This window comes from Homo sapiens, chromosome 1, assembly GCF_000001405.40.
Source record: "Homo sapiens chromosome 1, GRCh38.p14 Primary Assembly".
Classification (NCBI taxonomy): domain Eukaryota; kingdom Metazoa; phylum Chordata; class Mammalia; order Primates; family Hominidae; genus Homo; species Homo sapiens.
This window is the reverse complement of record NC_000001.11, coordinates 191,948,841-191,965,040: the sequence shown is the minus strand read 5'-3', so window position 1 is coordinate 191,965,040 and position 16,200 is coordinate 191,948,841. Positions and strand designations below refer to the sequence as shown.

Sequence of the window (16,200 nt, the reverse complement as noted above, 5' to 3'; positions counted from 1 at the left end):
GCACATAGTAGATCCAATATCTGCCCCGGAGGGGAACTGGAAGTACTTTTAGAAAGGCTAAAAACACACACGAGTAAGTTTACTTAATACATATTCATCTTGCTGGATGACCTAGAATATTATAACATTTCTTGTTAGATTATTCATGAAATATGAATATCTATGCATTTTGGATGAAAGTTCAATCTTAGAAGATATCAACAAAATAGCTAATTTTATTAAAGAGACAGAAAGGCTAGAGTGTGGAGAAATAAAATGTTAGAACCACAACAGCTATTTGGTATTTCATGATTGGAAAAATCTTATCAGAGTATCATGTTTTTTGATAGGTTTCTTTTAGCTATCCTGGATTTTAATTTGAGAAGTAATTAAAAAAGAAAAATTCAAATAGTCCCCCTCAACTACACTCCTAATTTAATTATCTGCTGGCTCAAATTCATATTGAAGTCAAAGAGATGAAAATGAAAAATTCTCTTTCTTGAGATTAAAGTTTTCAACATGAAAGGAAATGCCAAATTGGAAAATCTTGTACCTAAAAACTATTACTATACCTTTGCATCAATTTAATGAAGTATGTAGCAACTGGAAAACAGTTATCAAGAAACAAATGACTCTCAAATGAAGTGAATTTTCAAGATATATCACTCCTGAAAAATAAACATGTAAGAAGTTCAGAGCATTGTAATAAAATACTATGTAAGAGATTTATAGATACAGTCTGTTAAAAAGGAAGGAAACAGAGAAAACACAGCTGGAGATGGATCATAATAAGTCATATGATATTTACTCTGTGCTGGTCACTGTTCTAAGTGTGTTACATTGTAAAAGTTGAAAGTAAAATGTGAGTAGCCAGAATTATTATTAATTCTATTATATAGATAATGAAATGAAGGCACAGCCAGGCTAGGTAACTTGCCAGATTTCACAGCTGCTAAGTGGCTGAGCCATGACACAAACCCAAGGAGTCTGGCCGCAGACACTGTGATGTTAATCACTATGATATACTATTTATAATGACGAGAAAGAATCTGAACAATGTCATCAGTAATAGCAACCCTTATAATTGTGAATTAGTAGATGAGTAAACCGAGATACATCAGCTTAGTTGAATATTGCAAGTGGCTCATAGACTCAGTCTCATACTGCTGCCCACTGTTTCTCTTGAACTAGGCCAAACAAAATTTGAGTTTCCAGCTTAAGATAAAGTTGCATCTGTGAGTGTTGCATAACTTTTATTTTTAATTATACTTTTGATTCAATCTGCTTCAGACACAGTCAAGCAGAAGTAGAAACGGTAGGAAAAAAAAAGAGAAGGAAGAAGAAAAATAAATGTCATTCTAAATGCCTACGGTGTGCCAAATTGATTTTTGGAGATAATGATTTACTGTCCTTGATATTAAAATTTGACTAGAAAGGTCTAGCTTATGCTAAATTTAACTAGGGAACCAGGCTTCCTTATTGATGTAGAGCACAAGGGTAAATAGAAAGGGAAAGGGCTGTGGAGCGGGGGAAAGAAAGAAGAACTGGGGTTCACTGTGGTATGATTCATTCAGTAAGCATTTAGTGAGGAACCTCTACATGCTAGGCCCCTTACCACATGCTACTCATAGCATAATGGTGATGTCACTCATCACAATACTGAAAATTGGAATTTAAAATAGACAAGCCCGATGGATGGCAGATGTAGGACATTGTTCTCTTAGAGCATAAATGGAACTTATTAGTGAAAGCAGGGAAGTTGTGTGAAGGCAATGGAAAGGGAGAGGGGCAAAGTGGGGGAAATACAGATAAATAAATATTGGTGTGCTATTAAAATGTAAAGATGGCTTTCCTGGAGTGTGGCTTGGGTGACTGGGTGGTTACACCTGCCATACACTGAGATAAGGGACAGTGGGATAAGATAGGGTTTTTTGTTGGTTTGTTTTTTTTTTGTTTTTATTATTTTAAACATGTTAAATTTGGGGTGAATGTGTTGATTTATCTTTGGGGAGACTAAGCAGATGAACATAAAAGTCTGAAAATATAGATGTGCATGTCTTAAGCTTATGGCTGAAAAAGTTGAAGTATGTATATAGGTGGGATTACTAAAAAGTGGTCATGGAGGCAAACAGGAGATGATCCCCGTGCCTTGCGAAACCTAATATTTAATAATTTGGTGATAAACCAGCAAGTGATACTGGAAAGTTGATAATCAAAAGTGTAGAAAGAAAATCACATGTAATTCATTTAGCAGAAGCTGATAAGGGAGTGTTTCAAACAGGAAGTAACACTAAATATTATATAATCCATATAACAGTATGTAATTCCAAGGGTTAAGAAAAATGTCAATGCAGCATGCCTACTGAATATGACATCAAGGAAAATTAATAAACATAGTAATAGTTGTTTGAGATGATTGATGATGAATCAGGTCTAATTTGGGAATGCTAAAGGCTTTGAGGTGAAGACATGAAGGCATCTCTCATGAGTTTGCTTATGATAAAGAGGAAAAGAATAGAATAATGGGCAAAAAGTGAAATTAGGTTGAGGGGGGTGTCCTTGAAACATGAGGAGAGCTCCACTTTGTTATAAATCCAGTGGATTTATTTTTGACACTCTGGCAGGCCAAAAATATTTGTAAAACAAGCCCACTTAAAAATATAAAAACCCCTAAATGCATATTTTCTATATAAAGATGGTGATCTATACATACTTAAGTTTTATAACATATAAATATACTATATATATTTTATAATATATATTTATTACATACATTTGGTAACATAGAAACATACGTGTGTGAGGGTGTATATGCACACTGTTACCTTACAGGAAAAGGAGGGAACCCTCAGAAGAAAAAGCAGAGCAGCACCAACAGGAATAAACTTAAGGAATTACAATGAAATGGAACAATGGAAAATATACCCTGCTGAAAGCAATGCAAATTTTTGCAACTATTTTGCAAAAAATAAGGATTATTTAGTAAAGCAGATGAGGCACAGACCCTAGGATCTAGAATTTCCACCTGTAATAATACATGCTAAGAGACAGGTATCAGATGTCTCTTGACACCACCAAGTCCTTTGAGTTTTAAGCTGTTGCTTGTAGTATTCTGGTGAATAACTTCGCTTATGAAGTTATTTAAGCTTATATCCAAGAATAGCGGGGTATCTAATCCCAGTTTGGGCCTTAGCTATTGTGTTATGAGAACATTAAAGTCATTTTCATAGCTTATTTTAATTTAGGGGCAGGTTTTTACAGCGTAAAGTTAAGCTAGATTAAGATAAGAATCTTAAAATTGCTTTACACCGAGTTTTATTAATTTGGTTTAATTTTAAGACGCAGTGGCTGGCATGAAATTTACCAACCTTATGTAATTTTCCAACCTGGCAGCATTGTTTGTAATAGCAACAAAATGAAACAAACAAAAAAACTCTGGTATTAACTTTTATAGATAAATAATGATATACACACATATATTTTATATATGCATATATAATGTGAATATATATACAATGCAGTATTAATAGTATGGAGCAATAGAGAATGAATCAACTGCAGCTACTTAAATTAACAATGTTGACTTTAATAAACGTATCATTAAAAAGTAATATTGCAGAAGTTTACAGTATGACATATTTTAATAAATGATAGACATGCAAAACTGAACAATTTATATTATATATTGATATATACAAATATATTTCTGTTTAAGTATAAATAAAAGCAAATTATCTAAAAATAGTATAGTTGCCACCTTTAAAGAGTAGTATTTAGAGATTAATTTGATCAAGAAGAGATCCTCAGGGCTTTAAAGATATTAATAATATTCTATTTCTTACAGCATTAAAGTCATCTGTGGGTGTTTGGCTTTTTATTATTACTCTTTGTCTCGTATATATGCAAGTGTTTGTGTATGTGTATGTTTGTGTTTGTGTTTATATATTTCACATATTCACTTCTGGGAAAAGTTGAAGATTCTTTTTATGAAAGTGTTTGAAACATGCCTATCGATTAAATATTCCATAGAGATAATACTGGAGAAATTCCTAAATGGAAATAAAATATGTTTTATGAACTCCAGTGTGACTTTGATTTCTATGGGATTATGTACTTATAGAAACCATCATTCTCAGCAAACTATTGCAAGGACAAAAAACCAAACACCGCATGTTCTCACTCATAGGTGGGAATTGAACAATGAGAACACTTGGACACAGGAAGGGGAACATCACACACCAGGGCCTGTTGTGGGGTGGGGGAAGGGAGGAGGGATAGCATTAGGAGAATACCTAATGTAAATGATGAATTAATGGGTGCAGCACAGCAACATGGCACATGTATACGTATGTAACAAACCTGCACGTTGTGCACATGTACCCTAGAACTTTAAGTATAATAAAAACTAAAATTTAAAAAAAGACTAGCAAATCAGGACTCTGACTAGCGTTAAAAAAATGATGCTTTTTTCTTATGAAGAACTTATCACTGTAATTGGTCTTACTGTTAAAATAGCCTAATTAGTTGATGTGGGGGGATACTAACTTACCATGACAAATCTATAAATTTCCTGGTGTTGCTTTTTAAATAAACAGAATCAAATAAAAAAAAGAGAAATGATCATAATTGTGTTTTCCCTAGTTTGTAACTATAATAAATTGAGGTTTTATTTTGGGGAAAGCATTTAAATTACTTCATCTTTTTGCTTGGTATATTTCACTTGCCAAAAATGGAAAACAGACATTTTGAACAGAGATTAAACATACACATACACAACTCATATACACATATACATACACTCAACTACAGGAAGATGTTAGACTTAAATATATTTTACTTTGAGCAAACCATCTTCTAGTTTCTGTCTGCTGTTTAAAACATAGCAATGTCTTGAGAATCAAAGATTGTTTTATTCCTCCCTTTGGATAAAAGCCAAGCTTATGCTTTCATTTATAAGTAGAGAGCAGTAAATAATTTTTAAAATGAAATACTTTAAAAGAAAGCCATTATCAACCTGCTGAATAAGGAAGCAATTCATATTTTCCTGGACCACGAAGGTCTTTAGAAACAATGAATAATAAGCCTAATTGTTGCCGAAGTCATTAGAAAACACACTGAAATGTTTACTCGGGCTTTCTATACAAGAAAATAGAATAACGGTGAGATTTATATATAATAAGGAATTCCAGTTAATATACAATATGCCTCTCAGTTCCAAATCCCTTATACCCTTTATGTTCTTTAAAGGTGAGCCTGATAGCTGCTGTTTCCAAATTCTAAACTATAAGCCAGTTTTCTTACCACCATTGTACATTTGCAAAGACGATACATAGAGAGACATTGAACATTGTAAACAAATTCCTACTTTCAATAAGTGGTTGAGAAAACTCACAAATGTTTTTCTGCCTTGGTGAGCTGGGTAAAATAACAAGAATGCAATTATTATTACTTATAAATATTGTTTTTGCCAGTATTTACTGAGCATTTTCCTTATGATTGAATTGCGCTAAATGATTTACATGGACTAATTCACTCAATCCCTTTTCAACAAATAATAACCATTATTATCATCCTTATTTTATAATTGAGGAAACAGGCTAAGAAGGCTTAAATAACTTGGCAAGTGCACATAGTAACCATGTTACAAGGCTGAGCCATGAGTACAGTTCTCTAAACTCAGCACACTCTTAATCTCTATATTGTCCTTTTTTATCAATAAGATCTCTCCTTCAAAGGGATGCCTTCTATCACCATTCCATCTGAACGGAGCTACTGTGAGTCGAGTCACTATCAACAATACAATGTAACCTTGTCGCATATTCTTCACAGCATTAACCATTACCTGCAACTACCTTGCACACTTGTTTTGTTGTTTATAATTCATCTTTCTTTCTCTGGTAGCATGACCTTGTCTATCAGGTTTAGTACTGTATTTGCAAGATAATAGTTCTTGTACATAGTAAGTACTCTGTAAGTAATTGTGGAGCTAATGAATGAACCACTTGGTTTCTAGTCATGCCACATAACATATCCCACATGTCCAACTGCCTATGTATATCTTAAACTAATAATTTTTGAAATATTTAATGTAATATGTCTAAATGTGAACTCATTTTTATCAACTCAGTAAATTAAAAAGAAAAAGCCTTTATTTCTTAAGTCTTAACCCTAAGAGTCATTTTTGTCTTTCTTTTATTTTTTAATCCAAAATACTAATTTATGTAGGATCAGCCTTCTAAATATCTCATGGTTCTTTTTACTTCTTTCATTCATTGCAATATCTATAGCTAAAGCTGCCATTGTCTCTGGATTGAATCTGTTCAACCGCTTTCTGATGTCTTTGCCTTCTGGTGTAATCTTCCTATAATCTGTTTTCCACTCTAGAAATCAAAAGGTGCATGTTTAGCACAACAGACTTGGAATTTCTGTATTTATAACAGTTTGTTGTGCCTGTCCTGTCTTTGGAATAAAATCCAAATTATTTTAACATGATTCAATATATTTTTCAATATTGAAATTGTACTTTTCCCTCTTCACTAGCTATCTTTCAGAATTCTCCATCTTACGTGAACTAGGAAATATAGGGTAGGGCCTTAGAGCACAGATTTCTGATTCAACTTCCCTAGTTCTACAAAGAGACTCCATCCACTTCTTAGTTCTGTGATATGGACAGACTACGTAATCCATGTTGCCCCAGATAACTTGACTGTAAAATGGGAGTGTGTGTATGTGATGGTAATAATAATTGCACCTACCAGGTAAGGTTGATGTATTAAATGAGTAAATAATGCAAAACACTGAAAGAAGTTATTTGCTTAGTAAATATCAGCTCTTTCTTTATAGTTCTAGGGTCCTATTTTTAGTTCTATGAGTATGTCATGTTTTCATATATCTCTGTAATTTTGCAATGATAACCATTCAGCTTTTGAATTCTATATATACACTCCACTTAATCATGTTTCTTTCCATGTTTCTTTCAAGTTTCAGTACAGACATTACCAATTCTAGTGAGCCTTTCCTTACCTCTCAAGAGACAATTGGATGGTTCTTCCAAGTGGTCTCTTGTAACCCCCTGTATATAAATGACTCTATCTATAAGCAACTGTCACAATGTCTTATTATTGCCTCTTTCTTTTTTTGTGCCTCCCAGTATATAAATTCCTTGAAACTGGAGACTATGCCTTGCCCAGAGTAATATTTAGTTATAACTCAATTCCTTGTAGCAAGAATACACTCAATCAAATGTCTGTTAAACCCAGTCCAAAAGAGAGCTCACATAAAAGTCCAATTGCTAAAAGAGAAAATTCCGTATAGAAGCAAGATCTTTTGATATTGCTCCTCATTGTCTTTGAATATTATGAGGCTCTACGTGGGGGGGGGAAGTGGGGCCTCACAGATGATGTCAATCCTTATTCCATCATTTTCACTCCAGAATTTTATGCAAACAGAAGCAATAGTGGGTACTAATTCTCTGGAGAAAAATTGAAATATTGGCAATGCTTGATTTGGCTTTTTCCCTAGGAGAACATGTGCCACTCTGACATTGAATTTAGATTAGGAAATAAGAGTCTGCTGATTAAAATCTTGTCCTAAGTGAAAATAGTGTTTGTAAACAAAGTATTTTCTGAACCTTAATAAGACCAAAGGAAGCAGTGCTGAGATATGGGTCATCTGCTTTTGTCTTTTTTTTTTTTTTCGTAAAAGTAAGCTGAGGAATTAATACAACCTGACATTTTAATATTATGTCTGTTTCTGTATGTTGGTGTGTGTGTATGTGTCTTTGTGAGAGTGAGAGAGAAATCATCTTTTCCCATGATTTGTAATGCATGCAAAATGATACAAATTAATCATTACTGAGTGTCATAAAAGTCCTCAACAGGACAATGTGCTAGGCCCTGTGAAATAATTTATCAATCAGAAGGGCAATCGTGGCTAAACAAGGTAATGTTAGTTTTGTTGAAATAGTTTGAGCTTAATGACCTTGTTAGGTTATATAATCAATGAGTATCCAACAATTTTCCAGGTAAAAATCTTTATTGTTTGCTTAATAAGTACTATGCTCATACTCTACACATTTATTCATTATTAAAATTAGATTTTATAAAAACTCATTGATATAGATAACTAAATCCATTTTATAGATGAATAGACTAATATGCCCATTTGTAAGATTATTCACTCCTTCCTTCATTCCCTCTTTCCTCCTCCTTTTAAAGGAAAATCAGTACTAGTAATTGAAAGCCCACTAGTTTTCTATTTCAATACATTTAATATTAATCTTGACCCTTTTAGCCTCTAATTTTACTATAATTTTTCATAATTCAAACATTACATCCATTCAGCCAATCAAAAATTCATTAGCTTGAGCTAAATTCATTGGTTTGAGCTCTAATGGTTAGAGCTGTGGATAAAACAAGATGTATTCTGGGGCCTCATGTAATATACACCCTGGATGGGAAAATGAACATTAGATGAATTATTAAACATAAGAATTCATAATGACAAATTGAATACAATAATAATTTTGTCTTTCAAAGATAAAATACAACATTTCTTGCAGTATTTCAAACCTCCTCTCTAGACAAAGTAAATGCAATTTATTGCAACTAGAGAACTCTAATGTGAAAATGTCCACAAGAATAATAAATGGAGGGCTCTTACTACTTTTTCTCATTTTTATCTCACCTTTAATTTTTATAATAATATGACTTATCATCCTAATTGTAAAAAATAGTACCAATAAGTTTAGATAGAACTTCATTAAAAGACTGCAAACAAATAAAAACCATGACTTTGTAAAATACCCTCTTTATTCAATGCCTATTTAATTCAATAGTTTATTTCCCAGTGTGTTCTGAACACTGTACAAATCTTGATTGGCTTTTAGCAACAGAATTAATTTAAATATAGAATGCCTCTTGAACCCATAAACCATTTTCATTAATGACTTCTAAATAATGGTTAGATTAACAGGCAAACACTTAATTACTGTCTCCTTTTTTAATCAGGCAAGCAATTCTAATGTAAACTGACAAGGCATTTATTTAGGAAGCTACTTATTTTAAATAGTCTCTGACAATTTCAAAGGTTTCCTTTTAAGCCTATGAAATGTATATTAGAGATGAAAAATAAACAATAAATTTGAGTAACATTTTTAACTTGCTTTTATTAATTTCTGTTTCCAAAATTTATGTTCTCTTGTAGATTGTGGATGTCTGAGGAAATGATATGAATCACGGCAGACGGATCTGCCTAAGGAAATCTAACTTTCCAATAGGTATCAAAAAGTGAGAGTTAATTCAGGAATTTATCACAACTCAGGATCTAGCCTTTAGCTTTTTCCTCTCTGAAAGTTGAACCTTTAGTACATTGATATATTGCCTCAAGTCTCAAGGCAGGATTCACAATATCCAAGCACACTGAGATGTTGCAAAAAGTTGGAATGCCAATAACAGATTTTAATGCTATGAAGCTAACATTTGAACATGATACTAATGTTTTTTGGCCAGTGATTTTTATTTCTGTAAGTAAGCCTTATGGGATGTGAAATTATATTTGGAATAATATGCACAAGTTATATAATTTTAATTTTTACTAGCATCAGGTTAAGTATCTGGCTATAATAATTTTATCAACAGAAATATCAGTATTTGACCAACTATATATTACATATGTTTAAAGATTCCATAAATACAAAAGTTTTTACAAATTAATAAAAAGCTCCATGTTTTGAATATTTAATATTTTCTAGCCATGGTAATAAGAGAGTTCCAGGTAATATTTTCAAAGACATATTACCAAGTAATACCAAGCAAAATCAATGTACATAAAGTGAGCTAACAAGTACAATGGACGGTTTTTATGTTCACAGTCGCCTATCATTTCTTGAGCATTCTTTCACTTTTTGAACAAATTCCCATATTATGAGATTTGCCTCCCAATGCAGACGTCAAAATTTACTAGTCCAGGCTTTCTTGCTACTAGGGCTGAACTATGTCCTATTTTTCTCCAACAAGATATTCCAACATGATACTTCATTTAGAGGGGACTACGTGAGGAATCTAATAAGTATGAAATCTATCACTGGAAACATGCATGTTAAAGAACATAAGTATTGGTGTTCCCGGAGTCTAGCTCCATGCTTATTAGTGCCACTGATGATTTCTATCTGTGCTACAGATCTCAGAGTATACGGTTGGCCCTTAAACAACACAGGGTAGGAAAGACTCCCTGTACAGTCAAAACTTCTGCCTATAACTATTGACTCTTCCAAAACTTAACTACCAATAGCCTGAGTTGACCAGAGGCCTTATCGATAACATAACCAGCTAATTAACACATATTTTGTATGTCGTATGTATTATTAATGTATACTATATTCTTACAATAAAGCTAGCTATAGAAAATAAAATGTTATTAAGAAAATCATAAGGCAGAGAAACTATATTTACTATTCATTACATGGAAGTGGATTATAATAAAAGTCTTTATCCTTTTTGTCTTCACATTGAGTAGGCTGAGCAGGAGGAGGAAGAGGAAGGGTTGATCTTGCTGTCTCATGGGTGGCAGTGGTGAATGAGGTGGAGAAGGTAGAATGGGAGGCAGGAGACTCAGGCATAGTTGGTATAATTTTTATTGAAAAAAATTCCACATATAAGTGAACCTATGTAGTTCAAATTTGTGTTGTTCAGGAGTCAACTGTAGTTGCATTCTGTTTCTGGGTACATATCTTTTAGTTTCACATGCTTATTTCCCTGAAGATTTTGTGAGCTGTCTAAAAATATTCTTTAATATGTTGTTTTCTCCCTATACCATTCATAGCAAATCCTATTCTTTGTAATTAAGAATGCTCACTGACATATCAAAGTTACCCAGATCCTAAGACTATAATTTATGTTTTTCCAAGATTTCAATCTGCATTGTCAGATTCTGAAATGACTGTGTATGTGCTTATTGTATTAACAATCAACCCATAGAAGTAAACAATTGTCCACTGTCTTCAATAATCTGATTTGTTTAACAAGGTTTTTTTGGAAAATTGCCAAACTATACTGGGAAAATATCAGTGGTAGTGAACTTATTGGAATCAATGGCTTTTCTTAACAAACTACTTTCATCGTTCTCAGGCTGCTCAGGCTGATTTTCCATAAGCAGTGCTTGCAATAAGTATATATATATATATATATATATGAATATATATATGTGTGTGTGTGTGTGTATATATATCTACACTCTTTCCCTCTTTTCATTTCATTTTCATTTCCTATCTGAAATAAATATGGCTCCTGTTGTGTAAGGATATTTCTAGTCATGCAAATACTATATTTATAAAAGCCATATGTGTTGAAATTCCATTTAGATATGACGAAATGACAGTTCTGTAAAGATTTCAGTTGCTAGAAAACTTAAATTCACAAAAGACTACTTAAGGATTTCCACAGGGACTTTTATCTATTGTTTTCTTCTCAAACTTTTTTTTATTTTAGAGTAGCTGCCTTCATAATAACAATTTTAGAAAACCTTCAACAATAATGTCACAAATATTTAACAGTATTATTATTGTAAGAATTTTTATTACACATTGAATTTTCAACAATATTTGAGATTTAATCATTTCTGTAAACTCACTTTTAATTTGAACACCAAGAGACTTTATGTGAAAAAAAATTGTGCATTTCAGCGAACTTACAAATGACTTTCTGCAACAAATTGTTTGTAAGCATCTTTAATTCTTGGTAGTCTCTTAGTTTTACATTGTTTATTAAATAAATATATAGTGCTTCCCCCAAAGATATGTATATCTTTCAATATGAAGCTCAATAAATAACAGCCGTAAATGTTGACCAGGTAGATTTTGTATTTAAAAATAATTTCAAGAACTTCAGAAAATATTTTCCAGTTGAAAAAAAAAGAGATTTGCTCTAGACATAAGTGAAGAACAAGGACATAGAGTGTAACTTTTGAAAAGTAAGTTGTTATTCTAGAATATTCTAGAATAGATTTAGATTTACAAAAAATTTATGGAGCTAGAACAAAGAATTCATATATGCTCTGTACCTAATTTTCCCTACTGCTATTTATTATGTTATTATGATGCATTTGTCAAAGTTAACAAATATTGCTATATTATTATTAAAGAAATTCCTAGTTTATTTAGATTTTATTAGTTTTTATGTAATGTTCTTTTTTTCTGTTTCATATAATTATTACCATATTACATTTAAAACATTAAATTTCTCATCATTATGTATGATGCTCAATAGGTTTTTCATGCATCTTGTTTATCATGTTGTGGTAGTTCCCTGTTATTCTATTCTGTTTGCTCAGGGATTTTGTCATGAATTAACGTTTAATTTTATCAAATGATTTTTCTGTATCAAATGATTTTTCTGTGTCTAGTGATAATATCACATATTTTTTTCTTTAGCTTGTTGGTGTGTTGAATTACATCGATTGACTTAAAAATATAAACCAGCCTTGCATACTTGGAATAAAATCCATTTAGTCTTGTGTAACTTTTGTTACTCATTGTTAAATTCTATTAGCTACTGTTTTGTTGAGGAATTTTGCATCTGTGTTTATGAAAAATATTGGTCCTCAGGTTTTCCTTTTTAGTGACGGTTTTATCTGGTTTTGGTATAAGGGTAATGCTGTTCTCAGGCAATGAGTTAGGAAGTTTCTCTGTGCTTTAATTTTCTGGAAGAGACAGAAAAATGAGTATCTTTTCTTTCTTCAATGTTTGTTAGAATTTACCAGTGAAATCATTTGGGCTTGTTGCTTTGTTTTTTTTTTTTTTTTTTTGCAATATTATTATTGATATAATTTTTAACATAAATATGAAGCTATTCAGGTTATCTGTATCTCCTTGTGTGAATTTTGGTAGTGTCTTTCAAGAAATTGTTTCATTACATTTAAATTTGTAGGTATAGAGTTTTCATTGTGTTTCTTTATTATCCTTTTAATGTGCATGGGATAGTGACAATCTTTCTTTCGTTTCTGTTATTGATATAGTGTGTCTTCTCTGTTTTATGAAATTTGTCTGATAGAAGATTATGATGTTATTAATCTTTCAAAAAATATCTACTCATGTTATTGATTTTCTCTATTGTTTTCATTTCTATTGATTTCCATTAATTTTTATAATTTTTTTCTTCTATTTGCTGTAGGCTTAAGTTGCTTTTCTTTCTCTGGCTAAAGTTTAAGCTTAGATTCTTGATTCTCCATCTTTCCTTTGTTCTAATATATGGATTTAATGTTATATTTCTCTTGAAGCATTGCTTTCACTACAACCTGAAGATACTGTAAACTGTATTTTTACTTTATTTCAAAATATTTTTAATTCATATGTCTATTTCTTGGAAATTTACTCATCTACTATTATGTACTGCCCCTTTTATATATGTGATATATATTTTTTGTTCTGAAGTCTGATTTACATGAAATTCATATTACAAAATTTAAAAATTATTGGTAGGATGGCATATTGTTTTTATCCTTTTATTTTTACCCTATCAGTCATTATATTTGAAGTGGGTTTCTTATTGACCATATACAATTGTGCTCTTTTTTTTTAAATCTACTGTAACAATCTCTGTATTTTAAATAGTAACTTTATATGTGATATTTAATGTGATTATTAATGTAATATGATTAATATCTACCATTTTGGTGACTATTTTCTATTAGTTGCATTTGCCATTATCCTTTCCTTTGTCATTTTGTTTTAATTGAACATGTTATAAAATTACATGTTGCCTCATCTCTTACAATATCAATTGTATCTCTTTTACAAATTTTAGAGTGGTTGACCTAGAGTTTCCAGAATACATTTTTAGACTAACCTAAGTCCATTTTGAATTAACATTTTTAGGGTAGCGATCTTATAACAGTTATCCCAATGTTTCCCTCCATCCTTTATGATATAGATGTACCAATGTCATTCACTCTACTTATCCATATGTTAAAATCATCCAGTCTATTTCTATTATTATTTTAAATGCCTATCTTTTAAATCAATTAAAACTAGGGGCTGCGCACGGTGGGTCACGCCTGTAATCCCAGCACTTTTGGAGGCCGAGGCGGGCGTATCACAAGGTCAAGAGATCGAGACCATCCTGGCTAACACGATAAACCCCGTCTTGACTAAAAATACAAAAAATTAGCTGGGCGTGGTGGCAGGCTCCTGTAATCCCAGCTACTCTGGAGGCTGAGGCAGGAGAATGGCCTGAACCCGCGAGGCGGAGCTTGCAGTAAGCCAAGATCGCCCCACTGCACTCCAGCCTGGGGGACAAAGCGAGACTCTGCAACAACAACAACAAAAAAAAGAATAGGAAAGATAAAATTGTTTATTTTACCTTCATTTCTTCCTTCCCCAATGTTCTTTTCTTTATGTAGACCCAATTTTCTCACCTGTATAATTTCTTTCCCCCTGCAAAAGTTTATTTTTATTTTAATTTTTTTGACATAACTTGCAGGGAGGTATTCTGGAGATGAATTTTCTCACTTTTTTTGTTTGGTTTAATAAAGTTTTTATATCTTCTTCACTTTTGACTGCTAATTTTGCTGAATATATGGTTCTAGGGCCTTCTCCCCCAACACTTTCAATATTTTACTACACTCTATCCCTGTTTTCATTGTTTGTGACAAAAAGCCCAGTTTAATTCTAATCCCTGTTGCTCTGCAAGAAAGATGTCTCTATACCACCCCCTGTATTCCTCTAAGAATTTCTCTCTGACTTTGCTGTTGGCTTTCTGCAGTTTGGTGCCTATATACCCAGGTGTGGATTCTGTAGGGCGGGTGTGTGTTTCTGTGTGTGACAGATGGGGGAAGGTATTATTCTCTTTGGTATTCTCTGAGTTTCCTGGATCAGTGTCTTTTTTTTCATTATTAATTTAAAAAAGGGATTGGTGATTATTGCTTCAAATTTTTTTTTAACTCTGAAATCTCCTGGTATTCCAATGACGCCTATATTACATCTTTTGAAATGGTCACAGTTCTTGGATGTTCTTCTCTGTTTTTTCTTTTTTTCCATATTTTTTCCTTCTTTTTTTTTCTCTTTACATTTTAGTTTAGGAAGTCTCAATTGACCTATCTTCAAGCTTGCTGGTCTTTCCTTGGCCATGAGCAGTCTCCACTGAAGAGCCTTTCAAAAGCATTCTTCGCTTCTATTAAAATGTCTTTGATGTCTAGCATTTCCTATTAATTTCTTCATAGAACTTCTATCTCTCTGCTTGCCTTACCCTTCTGTTCTTGCATATTTTCTACTTTTTGTCTTAGAGCATTTAAAATATTAATCATAATTATTTAAAATTCCTTATCTGACAATTACAAAATCTGTGCCACTTATGAGTCTGGTTCTGATGCTTTGTCTATTTAGACCGTGTGGGGTGCTTGTTTTTGTTTTGGTTTGGTTTGACTTTTTGCCTTATAACTTCTTGATAAAAGCCAAGCATATCATACTGAGTAATAGGAACCCAGGTAAGCAGGACTTAAGTGTGGGATTTTATGTTAATTTGGCTAAATGTTAGGTTATGTCAAATGTTTGCTATAGTGATAGGTACCAAAAAGTTTCGAATTCCTCTAGTTTTCTTGTTTTTGTCTCCCTTCCTGACTTTGAACTCTAACTTTCACCTAAGAACTCATCTTCAGTTATCATCTGCTTCACCCAGGTCCTTTGCAGGGACCTGGGTGAAGCAGATGATAACTGAAGATGAGTTCTTAGGTGAACACATGTATACCTATGCAACAAACCTGCACCTTCTGCACATGTATCCCAGAACTTAAAGTAAAATTTAAAAAGGGAGAAAGAGAGAGATCATCTGTATCTTGTAGCTTTTCCCACTGTAATCTATTGTGATTAAATTGAAACCCTGTTGGTGTGATGGTCAGTTGTGGAGAATGGAACATTCAATAATCACAGAATTAGATCTCAGTTTCTAAGTGTACTATGACTCAGGGATGTGACCTTCGTGTTTCTCTAGTGATGTGGGGTTCTTCCCACTCAGGTGAGACAGGAAGGCTAGAGGGGCCTGGATTGGGAGGAATGTCTTCCTCTCACTGGGATAAGGCACTAGTAAAGTATTTCGTCCAGGAAAAGAGGTCTTCATTAGGAGAATGCTGGGTGTATTTCACAATGATTATTCTTACCCCATCACATAAAATGGGATCTTCTGATCTTTACAGTGAAAAACTTGTAGGGTTCCTGGAGATAAAACTCATAAA

The 16,200-nt window shown here is 32.6% G+C and overlaps 1 long non-coding RNA gene across 1 annotated transcript in view, besides 1 other annotated feature; it reads right to left on the bottom strand.

Annotated features, from left to right (window-relative positions):
* The window catches only part of LINC02770 (long intergenic non-protein coding RNA 2770), a 278,575-nt gene that overhangs the window by 46,220 nt on the left and 216,155 nt on the right, over positions 1-16,200 (bottom strand). The window contains exon 6 of the long non-coding RNA NR_186758.1: positions 552-647. This is a non-coding gene — a long non-coding RNA (long intergenic non-protein coding RNA 2770). The remainder of the gene's footprint in view (positions 1-551; positions 648-16,200) is intronic.
* Positions 3,135-3,335: a silencer, noted in NCBI's record as "peak601 fragment used in MPRA reporter construct". NCBI's record gives its function as "represses an SCP1 promoter by STARR-seq MPRAs in K562 erythroleukemia cells {active_cell/tissue: K562}" and the evidence as "EXISTENCE:reporter gene assay evidence [ECO:0000049][PMID:32103011]".